Genomic DNA, 15,938 nt, shown 5'->3' with positions numbered 1-15,938 from the left:
TTCCCCCAGTTTATGATGTGTCTTTTTTTTGCCCTGTGTCTGCTTTCAAAAATATCTTTTTGGTGTTCTTCAGTTTGACTATGGCCCCTTAGATATCTTCTCTTTCTATTGGTCCTGCTTCTGATTTGCTAAGCTTCTCGGATTTATAAGTAGATTTTTAAAATCAAATTCAAAAAAATTTTGCCATTGTTTCTTCCTTATTTGTTGTGTGTGATTTTCAGATCGAAATAAATATATCCTTCTACAGCATAGAGTCTTGAAGTATCTGAGCTTTACAATGCCTCCCTCTTACGGGCTAGAAGGTCATTTGGCCAACTCATTTAAGCATTCAGTACTTTAGTTTTCTCTTCTACAGGAGAGGAAATTAAAATCCTCATGGGATTCCATTGACAGGTCAATGCAATGTTGTGTATAAAGGACATAGAAAGTATAAGTAAATGGTGGGCATTATTTTGTTTAAAGCATTTCTCCAAGAAGCCTTGCTCAAAATGCACATATAATGAATTATCCTCTGTTAACATCCTAAGACTCATTTGTTGAATTTCCCGACAAATGGCAAAGCCCCAAATAAATGTATATATTCTTTTGTTGGGTGTGGAGGAGTGAAGCACAGGAAAAGTTCCCAGCATGGGCCCCAGGGTTCTGGTAGAGAAGGCAAAGGCAAGTGAACACAGATATTCCAATCAGTATTGATCAACAGCCTGCCTCTCCTGACCTGTGGATATGAGAACCAGTTTATTAATCCTTATGATCAAATGTGTATTACATACAAGATAATGGGCAAAATTAGCAATTTCCATATTGCAATATATTTGGCTGCAGCAAAACAAAAAGGTAGAACAGATGTACTGTCAGAATTAAAGTCTTCCAGTTCTCTCCACTCAATTGTCATTGGTTTAATCTGACAAATGTTTGCGTTAGGCCTCGGTTCTTTGTCTATGCATAAATTCTAGCACCAGAAAAACAACAATGTCATAACTGCAAGAGATAAACAAGGTTTCTAAATTACCTGTTTCATTCCTTTATGTTGCTTGGAATGCTAATGTCAGTCTGATAAAGGCTGGCTCATTGTGAGGAAACATGTGTCTCTGTTGGTGCAGGTTGCTCCTGAGTTGTTCCCTGAGTGATTACTGTGACAGGCAGATAGAAATCAATGCTGGAAATGAGTGGGACAGAAAGATGTGTACTGGGAGGACAGATGTGCAGATTAGGGGTAGAGTTGACATATACTAGAAGGCAGGAGATAAGGATACATGTTAAGTGAGAGAATGAGAGCCCAGCCATAACATGAGTCTGCACGTTCATATGGATGAATGAGCCCAAGAAGATGTTGGAATGTTGCCCATGGTATCTGCCAACATCTATTGGCATATATTGTTCCTTTTAATTGACAATGTGTCTCATGAATGGAAAGAGATTTTTGGTATGAACAGAAGGTCAGGAACCACTGCAAGCACACCTAGGCTACTATAGAGTCAATTAAGTTCTTTCTTCTTCAAGTTTTAAAATTCTACTCAGAATCAATCAGCAAATCAGCAGTTACATTGACTATTACATCAATGCTTTATGTACAGATCTTTAAAAACCTCAAGGGTTCTCACATGAGAACAGAAATAAGCAAATCAAAACCTTCAAAGAAAGAACGTACCAACCAGGGGGAGAAATTTGTATTTTTGGTCCTTACGATAGCCGATTAAAATTTTACTCAGCCAACCTGATGGATGGTCGATGATGAGATGATACACTGTTCAGGACAGTTAACAAATAACTCTCTCTGATCAAAACTAAAGCAGAAAGTCTAGTTAAGTGTAAAATAACCTCAGCTGGGCATGTCTGTAATCCCAGCACTTTGGGAGGATGAGGCATGCAGATCACTTAGGGTCAGGAGTTTGAGACCAGACTGGCCAACATGATGAAACCCCATCTCTACTGAAAATACAAAAATTAGCCAGGCGTGGTTGCACGTGCCTGTAATCCCAGCTACTCAGCAGGCTGAGTAGGAGAATCACTTGAACCCCGGGGGGTGGAGGTTGCAGTGAGCTGAGACGGTGCCACTGTGCTCCAGCCTGGGGTGACAGGGCGAGACTCCGTCTCAAAAAAAAAAAAAAAAGAGAAAAAAGAAAAAAAAGAATAAAATAGTCTCTTAAAACAGGCACAGCAATGATCCCAGCTCTGTGCCATGCTGAATGATCGAGCCTGATCTAGTGAGAACCGCTGCAGAACATAGGGATAGTCTACCTGATGCAGAAACTGGAACCCTTGAGAAGAAACTCCACCTTAGGGGAAAAAGTCTAAGTCCACAGTCTGGTTCAAGGCTAGCACCAAGGGGGAAGGGCGTTCCTGGTGATAGCCCGGTTGCTCATATTGTGTCCTTCAGCCTAGTTCCCAGGACTCATGGGGAGAGGAGACTAAGAAAATGAGAGAGAGTGAAGCATGACAAGTCTATCCAGGCGGTGAGAGCACAGGCAGCACTGATGCGTGGTGTTGTGTGGCTGTGCGACACAACTGGCCACACTGGACATGAAGCTTACTTTCCCTACCTGGAGTAACACCAGAGCGTAGGGCAGACATAGCTGGAGAGATGACTGGGGTTGAACTGTGGATGTGGTACAGATCCTCTTGGGCCCTCGGGGAGTGTGTCGGGAGATGTTTGAATGAGTGAGGGTGTGGCATACATAGTGGATACCTGATAATTCCTTGTCTGCTCACATTTCCTTCCTTCGGAAGTTGATTCTTCCTCTATCCCTGGATGCTTATGGAGCTGCCAATCTCCCCCAGCACCGACAGCCCTCATAGTCCACAGAGATAGGTATGTGACCCAGGCTAACCAACAAGAGAATACCATTCTTACCGGAATCGTGAGAGATGCACAGACTTGGGCATAGGACCCTAGCAGAGCCAATCGGAGGCCTTTCGCGGGGCTGAAATGATGGCTGCAAGGGGTCTCCATCGATGATGCAATCTGTAAAGACCATTCTTCCTACCAATGGAGAGATCTGTCAGAAAATCATAAAGTCACCAGGGAAACTTTGAGATGGAGAGAATGAGACAGTTTTTGAGGACCCGGCTCCAGCCATATATACACGTGGCTCAAATCCTAAACATTTCAGTTACATAATGATGAAATTTCAAAATTTCTGAAATTCTTTTACACCTTGTTTAATCTTATGGATGACTTACAATTGAGCGACTCCTGACTAACATAGAGGAAGGATTATTTGTTTCTGTTTTTGACCATTTGAAACGGTGAGCAGCTGTGATCTGTGGAAACACATATCTCAGAGGAAGAAGGCAGAACAAATCACCCCTTCCTCAGTCTTACACCTAATATCTCTAATTGTTCTAGGGAAATTTTTAATATGTATATAAATATTTGTCTGAAAATTATTTTAAAAAGTGACGACGACCGGTGAATCCCACGTGTCCAGGAGTGCTTCCTTCAAGTATTCGTGTCTCCCTTCTCTGGAATGGAGCCTTATAGCAGGGGATAGGGGACCCTGATTTCCAACAGCCTGCAATGATCCCAGGGCATCCAGAAATGAGGGGAATGGGGCCAGGCGCAGTGGCTCATGCCTGTAATCCTAGCACTTTGGGAGGCCAATGTGGGCGGATCACAAGGTCAGGAGTTCGAGACCAGCCTGACCAACATGGTGAAACCCCATCTCTACTAAAAATACAAAAATTAGCCAGGCGTGGTGGTTAGCACCTATAATCCCAACTACTAAGGAGGCTGAGGCAGGAGAATCGCTTGAACCCTGGAGGCAGAGGTTGCAGTGAGCCAAGATCGTGCCACTGTACTCCAGCCTCGGTGACAAAGTGAGACTCCATCTCCAAAAAAAAAAAGAAAAAAGAAATGAGGGGAATAGGAGTTAATGAAATGGAAGCTGTCTGTCTTTTGGGGATAATGAGATTTCTGATCTGTATCCAGTTAGGGAGGAGTTGGGGAGAAGACAGTGTGGCTTTATCCTTACATCACTGTTTCATGTAGAACCTGTCATTTTCATCAGGCCATTCAGCATTCACACATCCATGCAATGTCTGAGTGCCTGCTCCAGGCTGACATTCTGCATGGCACACAATGGTGGGAAGATAGGACACTGCCTTTATGGAATTTATAGCCTAGATGGGAAAGATAGACAAGCAATTAATGATGAAATGTGATATGTGTTATGAATGAGACAGTATTAATGTATTTGATTAATGTAGTTGACTGTATTAATCAACTCTTAGTGACAAGTGAGAGAATTCAAATTCAAGCTAGCTTAAATAAAAAGAAGCTATTACTGACTGCATAATAGCCCTGGGTACAGATGTCTTCAGGTTTGGCTGGATCCAGCACACCAGTGGTGTAATCCTGTCTCCCTCTTCCCCCATCTTTATGTCTCTCTGACCTCTGCTTTCTTCTACATCTGCTTTATTCTCAGGCAGCCTTTCTTGCTGGCAAAGATAGCCCCTGGCAACTCCAGAAATTCATTATCCTAAGTATAATGAGATCCTGAGATCTCTTAAAAAAGAAATCCTCTCTCTCCCAGTCTCCATAGCAATCCTTCAATTATTCAGTTGGTCCATGCCCACCACTGGATCAATATTATGCCCAGAGATTAAAGGTTTTATTTGCAGCTGTCTGGTTTACAGGTGAACCCAAGGCTGCACTAAGAATCTAGGAGGTGTGTTCTTAAAGATTTTAGGGACATCCCCTAAAGATGTTATGCATACTTTATACCATGAGCTATGGGAACACATAACAGGGCAAATATCCTGCTGTAGGGCATCAGGAGAGACTTATTAGAGGAAGCTGATGTGAAGATTGAGTAATCATTCTTTTTTTTCCCTTTAGAAACAGAATCTCACTTGTTGCCCAGGCTGGAGTACAGTGTCACAATCATATTTCACTGCAGCCTCAAACTCCTGGGCTCAAGTGATCCTCTTGCCTCAGCCTCTGGAGTAGCTGGCACTACAGGCGCACTTTCCAGCATGCCTGGCTGAATTCTTATATCAATAGCTAATGTTTATTGAACCCTCGCTATGTGCCAGGCACTGTGCAAAGCACTTCACATATATTAACTCACTTAATCTTCACCACAACCTCTGAAATAAAAACCAGTATTTTGTCCCTTTTAGAGAAAATAAAAATGAGGCACAGAGAAGTTAAAGAACATATTCACAGCCCTATAGGTAGTAAATGAATAGGGTGTTGGGTAAGGTTAGTGGGAGGAAAGAAAGATCCAGGTGAGAAATAGCATGTGGACAGACCCAGAGGAATCACTGAGGAATCATAGCCTGGACTATGGGAGGACAAGGTGCTCTGCAAATTGGAGATGTCAGCAAGCCCATTTCCCCACTGTCTTGACTGTACTTTCAGAGTATTGTTTTCAGAGACTCATATGCACATGCAGTTTGCCAAGGATCTGGATGATAAGCTGCACTGAATTCCTGGCTCATTTCTAGAAACATGACCCAATGCTCTGATCAAAAAGTATACCTTGATTAAAACTGATCTTTTGAAAAAGACTGCTAGGTATGACCTATTATTCTCATGGTTTTAACAACATTGCAATAATTGTGATGTTGCTTGTTGCAGTTGGCTGACTCTATTTGGCAAGTGGGCTAATTTTAGAGAGATCAGCCAACCTAATTTATCTGCAACCTTTCCCTTGGTCCTGAATTCGTTGGTACTCCAGTCACTTGGGTTTTTTTGTTTGTTTTGTTTCTTCATTGTTGTCCTATTGGAGTGCTCTTCTGGGCATAGATCAAACACCAGTGGCTACACTTCTGGATGTCTTTCACTTAATAACAGGTCACCATCCCCACCGTGAGTGCTCTGGGACCCAAAGTCTGGAACCATCCTGTAGAGAAACACGGTATGTATGCACCACTCCTCAGCATAAGGACACAGTGTCAGAAGTGCTGTATTTCTATTTACAGAAGCATTTGGAGGGAAAGCATCTCTTAAAACCTGCACTGAGCTGGGTGTAGTGGCACATGTCTGTAGTTCCAGCTCCTCAGGAGGCAGAGGTGGGAAAATTGCTTGAGTTCAAGAGTCTGAGGCTTGTGGTCATCATTAGGGTCAAGCCATCTGAAATCTCATTCTGTAGTATGATTGGGAAAGATGGAAGAGAAGTTAACAATGTTTGAAAAGACCATATAGAGGCATTGTTGGATGCTGTTCAGGTACAGTAACAACCATTTGACTACCTTTAGCCACCATGCTGCTCTTTGAGTGAACTATGTCTTTGCTACATGAACAACTAAGATCTGCTTTAATCTTTACTTCCTTAAAGAGACCTCAACCAAAGGCTCACCAGAATGCAGGATTTATATCAAGCATATTTAACAGCCAATATGGCACAGGCATCAACCAATCAAAACAGGTGCTGAGCTATAAGCAATGGTTCAGTTGAAATTGTGCTCACCAACTGACTCTCAGCCCTGCTGGTTGGGATCAGGTAGTCTCTATTCATCCAAGAGACAGTATCCGATATCTACTGCAAGACAACCAGATAGTCCTCTGGGCAAGTGGCTCTCAGTGGAGGCTGATTTTGCCTTCCAGGGGACATTGGCAATGTCTGAAGACATTTTTGGTTGTGGTATCTGCTGGGTAGAGGCCAGGGATCCTGCTAACTATCCTACAAGTCTCAGAGCAACAACAACAAAAAATTATCTGTCCCAAATTTTCCTAGTAGTGAGGTTGGGAAACTCTCCTTTTGGTGATACCCTTAGCATGAGCAATAGCTTCCCATGCTGTGAATCACAGCAAACCTTTACAAGATAGTCTTCATGGCAGAGTCCTATCAGTTTATCATCTTGGGGGTGGGCCATCAGTTCACAATAAGAAGCCATTTATAAATACCACTGCTCCTGTGGCTTTTTTCCACACTAAACTCTACTAGTCAAACAATAAAATGGCTAGGCACCGATAAAGGTGTTCTGCTGTTGTTTTCTTATATCAGCAGAGCATGCATCAGGTGAAAATTATTTATGGTAACAACAATAATGATAGGTAGCTTTTATGAAGTTATTATTATTATATGCCAGGCACTTCTTAAGGAGCTTTCAGGCTTTATCTCAATTTTTGCGGAAGCTCGTTAGATGTCCCATTTTTCTGATGAGGAAACTGAGGCCTAGAGAGTTCAGTGACCTGCTGAAAGTCACTCTGTCTCTACTATGTGTGTTCTCAGCCACTGTATTGTCCACGCACCCCTGATAGCCCACTCTTGTAGGAATGTTCTGTGTCAAATGCAAACGGAAGAGACCTAATTCCAAGGCTGTGAGATTAGGGTATTTCAAGGCAGGAATGGGACGTCTAAGGAATGGGCAAACTGTTTAGAAGTCCAAAATGTCTTCATATATAATATATACGGGTTATATTTATGCTTCATAGAGTCAAAGCTTCTGAAGTGTTCAAGTGAGCTGAAATCTCTTATGCCTTTTTCTCTCTTAATGCAGCAAGAAAGCCTTATCTGTGATGAGGATTTTCAGATGAAAGAACTACTGTGGTTAGGCTTGGCCCAGGATGGAACATCACTCATGTGGCACACCCTTCTAGAAATCCAAAGAAGGGGATGGCTTCTGTCAAATCAAATCCCTGCAGACATTAGCTAAACCCCACAAAACACATTGATCAGGTGAGCCACCTCCAGTGCCACCGAGAGCCCTACGGTTTACAGGCAGGTGTTCCCTGGTTGAGAGAGACACATGTGTTTTAGTGGAAATGGCCATGGAAGAGAGTCAGAAATCTTAGTACAGGCCTTGCTACACTTTCTTTGATTTCCTTTCTTTTCACAAGAAGGGGAGAGAAAGGAAGAGTCAGAGGATAGAAGAAAGAAGAGAGGGGAGGAGGGAGCTAGTGATTTGACGTTTCCTTTTACGCACTCATCTCATCTCATCCTCACAGTGATCGGTCAAGGCTAAACACTGTTGTCCTCCTTTATGGAGACTTTAAGAGGTTCACTAACTTGACCAAGGTCACATAGCTGGTTGATGAGGGAGTTCAGATTCACACCCATGCCTGTCCAATGCCAAAAGCTCTGCTTTTTTTCCTCTCTGCCACTCTGCTCACAGTGGGACGTCCCAGCCTTTGGGAGCTGATAGCATTGTGCTCCTATCAGTCAGAGCAAGTGGATTGCTTGTGTTGGCAGCACATCTACTGAACTGCAAATGACAGGGACGAGGATGACGTGGAGACTCTCGAAGGCTTTCCTATTTTCTGCATTGGGCACAGGAGCCAAGAGGGAGGACAGCAATTGCAGGAAACACCTTAAAAGCAACAAATTGATAAATAAACAAATGGAAGCTTCAGCCTTAAGTCGTGAAAGGAGCCTGGCACTGTCAGTAAGAGGGCCTGGTTCTGCCTCTGCTGGGTCCTGTGACCTTGAGGGCTGCATGGGGCGCCCCGTGTAGCTGAAAAACCAGAGGTTTGCTTGGGCCATTGTTAGTCCTGTCTCTTTCAGCTCTGACAGTCAATCTTCTGTTTAAATATGATTTCCACTATATTAGTCTGTTCAGGTTTCTATAACAAAATACCACAGACTGGAAGGCTTAAACAACAGACACTTACTATGTCATAGTTCTGGAGAAGAGAAGTCTAAGATCAATATGCCTACAGGTTTGGTTTGTTCTGAGGCCTGTCTCCTTGACTTGCAGACAGCCGTCTTCTCATTGTGTCCTCACATGGTCTGTGCGTAAGCCTCCCTGGTCTCTGCAGGTCCTAATCTCTTCTTCTTCTAAGGACACTAGTCAGATTGGATTAAGGCCCACCCTAATGACCTCATTTTAGCTTGTTTGTCTCTTTAGAGGTCCCATCCCCAAATACAATTACATTCAGAGACATTGGGGATTCGGATTTCAAGATATAATTTTGAGGAGGATGCAGTGCAGCCCATAACATACCATATGTTCCAGAATGTTCTCATGTGCTTTATAAATTTAAGTGTCAATGGCTATAACATTCATATGCTAAAAAATGTAGCAAAGGTATGGGAAATTAGTTAAGCACTTGTTTCATGGCACACAAAAAACTTCTAAACACTAAAGAAACTAAGGAAAGGTGAGTGAGGAAGCATCCTCTTGGTGATAATGATGACCAAGGCCCAGGTTAGAGGTCACCATCAGGGCTCGAATGCTCACCTGGCAAGCTGCCTGTGCCTAAATCTCCAGCTAAACAGGGGAAACCTGAAGACATTTGTTGGAAAATGTGATACGAAAGGAAAAAAGCACTGAAGGGAATCAAGGCAGCTTGGGGAAAAAATAATTTGTTGGACTGCCTCACACTTATTTTAATATAGTTAACCCTGGAACAATGTGGGGCTTAGGGGTGCCAACTCCTCACACATGGAAAATTCATGTATAATCCCTCAAAACTTAACTACTAATAGCCTACTGTTGATCAGAAGCCTTACTGATGACATAAACAGTTGGTTAACGTATATTTTGTGTGTTACCTGTATTATAGATTGTATTCTTACGATAGGGTAAGCTAAAGGACAGAAAATATCATTAAGAAAATCCTAAGGAACAGAAAATATATTTACTAGTCATTAAGTGAAAGTGGATTATCATCAAGGTCATCATCCTCATTTTCACATTGAGTAGGCTGAGGAGGAGGAAGAAGAGGAGGGGTTGGTCTTGCTCCCTCAGGGCTGGCAGAGGCTGAAGAAATGCAGGAGGTGGAAAGGGAGGCGGGAGAGGCAGGCACCCTTGGTGTAACTTTTATATTTAAAAAAATCCATGTATGAGTGGACCTGCCCAGTTCAATCCTACATTGTTCAAGGGTCAACAGTATTTTTATTTTCAACTACTTATGGGGAGGATAGGCTCTTATTACCTTTTCAGAGCTTGTTACCCTGGTTACCTTCTTACCTAGTGCCAATGGCCTGAAAATCTTGTCAACAGTTGGATGCCAGGCCTGAGCCCTTTCCTAACAAACAACAAGGGACAGCAGGAGTTGAGAAGGGAGGCTTGGATGTTCCTTGGCTTGTATAGATTTGTTTGGGACAATGAGGCTGAAGATGAAATTTTGTTTTTTGGTAAAATTCTAATTTTTAATAACATCTATTGAGTTTATTGTAAATTTTCAATGTAGAAAATTGAGGTAAGTATACAAAAGAATTAAAACTTCCTGTAGGGACAACATTTGTATATGTTTCTGCCCTGTTTATGTATACTACATATATGCATGAATATAATATAGGCTTATATTTGTGGACATGTACATATGAGTATGTATATATAAAAATTGGAAGTATATTACAGACAAAATATTATACCCCATTCTCATACTATAGTCTGAGTCCCTTCCACCATTTTAAATACTATTTGAAAACATGATATTTAATGGCTGTTTAATATTTATATTCCATTTTGTGAAGGTGGTAGGGAAACAAGAGCATAGGAGAGGTAGGGTGACAGCATGTTAAAATCAACTCTGTCTCGAAACTAGCAAGGCACATTCCTTGCCAGTCACAACCCATGGTCATAAGATGTTTACAACTAAAGAAGCAGCCTAATAATGCCCGCAAGGACAAACTCCTATGATAACGAAATGCCCAGATGTCCTAATATCACATAACAAAATATGCTTTTAAAATAATTACAGTCATGCTTTGATGTACTTACACACAAAAATGTCAAAGATAACTTTTTAAAAATCAGCAAATTACTAAAATTTGTCTCACTGTCGGCCCATCTGCAGGTAGACATAACTCAGCTTTTACGTAGATAAGACCCCTGTGTAAGAAGAGTTTAAAACAAAGACACTTTCTGAGGATGCCCTACCCTGCAGCTGAGTAGCCTTCAATAAGCTACCTCTTCTCACTGCACTCTGTGACTTGTCTTGAATTCCCTCCTGTGCGAGATCCAATAACCCTCTCCTGGGGTTGGATCGGGACCCCTTTTTCTGGCAACAAAAGCATCTTAATGTATTTAACCAACCCTTTGCTTGTGGGTATCTGAAATTTCCTCTTTTGCTACAATAAGTGACCCCATGATAGACATACATGTATCTAAACCTTTGTGAGCATCTCTCATCATTTTCCTATAGCTGTGTGTGATGGTTAATATTAAGTGTCAACTTGGTTGGATTGAAGGATGCTTAGATAGCTGGTAAAGTATTGTTTCTGGGTGTATCTGTGAGGGTGTTGCCAGAGGAGATTAACACCTGAGTCAGTGGACTGGGAGAGGAAGGCCCACCCTCAATCTAGGTGAGTACCATCCAATCGGCTACTAGTGCACCTGGAACAAAAGCAGGCAGAAGGTGGGATAAGCTGCCTTGCTGAGTCTTCCAGCCTTCATCTTTCTCCCGTGCTGGATGCTTCCTGCCCTCGAACATAAGAATCCAGCTTCTTCATCCTTTGGACTCTTGGACTTACACCAGTGGTTTGCCAGGGGCTCTTGGAGCTTCAGCCACAGCTTTCCTAATTTTGAAGCTTTGGGACTCGGACTGAGCCACTACTGGGTTCCTGCCTCCTCAGCTTGCAGATGACCTATTGTGGGCCTTCACTTTGTGATCATGTGAGTCAATTCTCCTTAATAAACTCTCTTTCATATGTACATGTATCCTATTAGTTCTCTCCCTCTGGAGAGCCCTAATACACTGTATTTTCTTACAAAGATGTATATTGTGAGAAAGTCCTCTTCTCTTGAGAGTACATTGTTTATGCTGGAGAGAAAGCACTTTCTGCCATCCCACAGGCATGCATGCAGCTGGTTTCGAAGGTCTCCTCAAAATTTTGGCAGGATTAAATTTTATTCTGTACTAAATGACCGTAGTCAAATCCTCTAAGCCCAACAGCTACACTTTTAAAAATCCAAGTGTTTGTCGGTTGTTGCTCTCTGTCTTTTTTGCAATCCTTTAGAGGCACTCTTTTCTCAAGGTGCTTCTAATTCTTCCTCTCTGACATGGGTGGAATGTTCCTAGCATGGGAAAGCTGTGTGAATCAAGACTCTTGGACATAAGTGACAGAAACCCAAGATGAAGTGGTGTCAGCAAAAAACGGGGTGGTGGCTAGTGAGCACTGGAACAGGGATCGAGGGCTACTAACTCTCACTTTGTGGCTCCTCTTTGATTTCTCTGTCTGTGTCCACTTTATTCTCTCAGACTGGCTTATTCCCCGGGGCCGGAACCGAAGATGCTGGCAGCACCTGGCTGATGTCTGCCCAGCACTGTCCACGGGGATCAAAGAGACTTCTTATTCCAGTTCCAAAAGTCCTCGGCAAGGAAGGCTTTTGTCCATCCTGAGGGCCCTCCCTACAGCCAGGGGATGGTCAGCCAGGAGCTTTCTACCCCCAACAAAATTTCTATGCCGTGGAGATGGGGTTTTTTGAGACGGAAGTTCCTCTTGAAGTCACACTAACTAGTAGGGAAATTCAAGAGCAGAATTTCCCAGAAGAGAAAGTAGTACTGGCTCCAAGAGAATGGATGGGAGCTTAATGGTCAACATTAAGGACCCCCGAAGAACACAGTGACAGTTGTGTTCCTTACCTCCCCACCTGGACCCCTAGAAAGCTAGGATGGTGAAGTTTTACCACTAAATCCTTGCAGGGCTAACTACAGACCGCTCTTCCCTGCAAAGACTTGTTCATTGTGAAGGCCAAAGAATATCCCTTTATGGAAGAAAAAGAAAGCATTTAGCATTTCATATCACCCCACAAATCAGTCTAGTGTCATGCATGATAACCGTGTTCACTGGGCATTTGCTATGGGACAGACGTGGCACTAAATGTTTTATGTGAATATTGTCATTTATACATCACAGGAACTGATAGCTCTGTCTTACAAAGGAGCAAACTGAACCTTGGAGAAAGGTAAAGTAATTGCCTAAGTATATGTGGCTCAGAAACTGCAAGGCCAGGATTTGAACTCATGTACTCCAACTCCAGAGCCCACATGCTTAACCTATCCCATACACTGCCTTAAAACACTCCAGAAAATGGAGGGCTCCATTTGCTTAATCTTCTTAATAATACCTATTTTTGATTGGCACTTTCTATACATAGAACTATGTCAGGTACTTTACATACATATATACATACATTTATTTAATAGAATTTTTAAGAGCAGTTTTAGGTTTACAAAAATATTGAGCAGAAGGTACATAAAGTTTCCATATACCCCCTTCATCACAGCCCTCCCCCACCAGTTTCTCCTGTTATATGAACATCTTGATTAGTGAGGTGCATTCATTACAATTGATGAGTCAATAATGATATATTATTTTTTATTTTTATTTTTTGAGATGGAGTTTCGCTCTTGTCACCCAGGCTGGAGTGCAATGGCACAATCTTGGCTCACTGCAACCTCCGCCTCCCGGGTTCAAGTGATTCTCCTGCCTCAGCCTGCCGAGTAGCTGGGATTACAGGTCCCTGCCACCATGCCTGGTTAATTTTTGTATTTTTAATGCAGACGGGATTTCGCCATGTTGGCCAGGCTAGTCTTGAACTCCTGACCTCAGGTGATCAGCCTTTTGGCTTCCCAAAGTGCTGGGAGTACAGGCATGAGCCAGCGCACCTGGCCAATACTGATACATTATTATTAGCTAAATTTCATAGTTTACATTACAGTTTATTCTTTGTATTGTACGTCCTATGGGTTTTGACAAATGCTGGATGACATGTATCCACCATTACATTATCATACAGAAGTTATACAGTCCTAAAAATCCCCTGTGCCCCACCTATTCATCCTTCCCCTCACAAGCCCCTGGCAATTACTGATCTTTTTACTGTCTCCACTGTTTTGCCTTTTCCAGAACATCATATAGTTGAAATCACATAGTATGTAGCTTTTTCAGATTGGCTCATTTCACTTAGAAACATGTATGTTTCCTCCATGTCCTTTCGTGGCTCAATACATTGTATGGATGTACCACAGTTTGTTCACCTACCTACTGAAGGACAGTTTGATTGCTTCCAAGTTTTGGCAATTATGAACAAAACTGCTATAAATATCGCTGTACAGGTTTTTGTGTGGACATACATTTTCAATGCATTTGGATAAATACCAAGGAGCCTGACTGCTAGATAGTGTGGTGAGACTATGTTTAGTTTTGTAAAAAACTGTCACATTGTCTTCCAAAGTGGCTGTACTGTTTCGCATCCTCACTGGCAATGAATGAGAGTTTGTTGCGCCATATCCTCGCCCGCATTTGATGCTGCCAATGTTTTGGATTTTAGTTATTCAATAGTTGTGTAGTAGTATCTCTTTGCTTTAATCTGCAATTTCTCCGATAGTATATGATGTTAAATATTTTTCCATATGCTTATTTGTTATATGTGTATTGTCTTTGATGAAGGGTCTATTCAGATCTTTTGTCTATTTTTATTTATTTATTTATTTATTTATTTATTTATTTTTGGGACAGCATTTCACTCTTGTCGCCCAGGCTACAGTGCAATGGCGTGCTCTTGGCTCACTGCAACCTCCACCTCCCAGGTTCCAGTGATTCTCCTGTATCAGCCTCCCAAGTAGCTGGGATTACAGGTGCCTGTCATCATGCATGGCTAATTTTTTGTATTTTTATTAAAGACAGGGTTTCACCATGTTGGCCAGGCTGGTCTCAAACTCCTGACCTCAGGTGATCCACCTGTATCGGTCTCCCAAAGTGCTGGGATTCCAGGCGTGAGCCACCGCGCCCTGCTGTGTTTTTAAAGTGAGGTGTTTTCTTATTACTCAGTTTTAAGAGTCCTTTGTGTATTTTGGATACCAGTCCTTTATCAGATATGTATTTTGCAAAGATTTTCTCCCAGCCTGTGGCTTGTCTTTTCATTGCCTTAACATTGTCTTTGCAGACCAGAAGGTTTTAACTTTAATGAAGGCCAACTTGGCAATCATTTCTTTCATAGATAATGCTTTTGCTGTTGTATCTAAAAAGCCATTGGTAGATTTCCTCCTATGTTATCTTCTAAGCATTTTATAGGTTTGTGTTTTACATTTAGGCCTATGATCTGTTTTGAGTTAATTGCTGTGTAAGATGTTAAAGTCTGTGTCTAGATTTATTTTTTGCATGTGGCGGTCCAGGTCCAGTTGTTCCAGGACCATTTGTTGAGGAGACTATCTTGTCTCCATTGACTTGTCTTAGCCACTCTGGATCAGCTATTTGTGTGGGTCTAGGCTACTGTTTGGGTTTCGATGTTTGTGCCCTCCAGACCTCATGTTGAAATTTGATCCCCAATGTTGAAGGTGGAACCTAATGGGAGGTATTTGGTTCACGGGTGTGGATCCTTCATGAAATGTCCTTCCTGGGGGTAGGTGGGACGGGGAGATGAATTTTCACTCTATTAGATGACTCTGGAGCTGGTTATTTAAAGGAACCGGGCCCTTCTCTCCTCTCCCTCTTGCTTATACTCTTGTCATGTGATCTCTGCACACACGCACACTCCCTTTCATCTTTTGCCATGAGTGGAAGCAGCCTGAAGCCCTCTCCACATGCAGATGTCCAATCTTGAACTTTCCAGCCATTAGAATTGTGAGCCAAATAAACCATTTTTTCTTTATAAATTACCCAGACTCGAGTATTCCATTATAGCAATACAAAACAAACTAAGTCTATTTCTGAGCTCTATATTCTGTTCATCTTTATACACATTTTTCATCCTTACCATGAAGTTCGTATGTATCCAGCAGGTAGTAAAATTCTTATTTCGAAAATGAGGAAACTGAGGCACAGAGTGAGCAGGGCCCCTCTCCCCAGGCCAGCAGCTGGTTAGAATTGAAACCCACATCTGCCTGGCTTTGATTCTGTGCACTTTCCTTGCCCCCAAGGTGCCTAATGGTGCTAGAAAGAGACTTAGTATGTCAACCTTAACCTTAGATGTTGCTCTCTAGGGCCTAAATTGTAGCATCTCCCTTTCTTAATGGTTGCTGGAATCTTGGGCAGCTGCTCTTTGATTGTAATCAAGGCTGCCTGTCACTCACGGTTTCTCTGAACCTGTAATGTGAGTCT

The sequence above is a fragment of the Homo sapiens genome, chromosome 13 (genome assembly GCF_000001405.40).
Source record: "Homo sapiens chromosome 13, GRCh38.p14 Primary Assembly".
Classification (NCBI taxonomy): domain Eukaryota; kingdom Metazoa; phylum Chordata; class Mammalia; order Primates; family Hominidae; genus Homo; species Homo sapiens.
Note: the sequence above shows the minus strand (reverse complement) of the source record.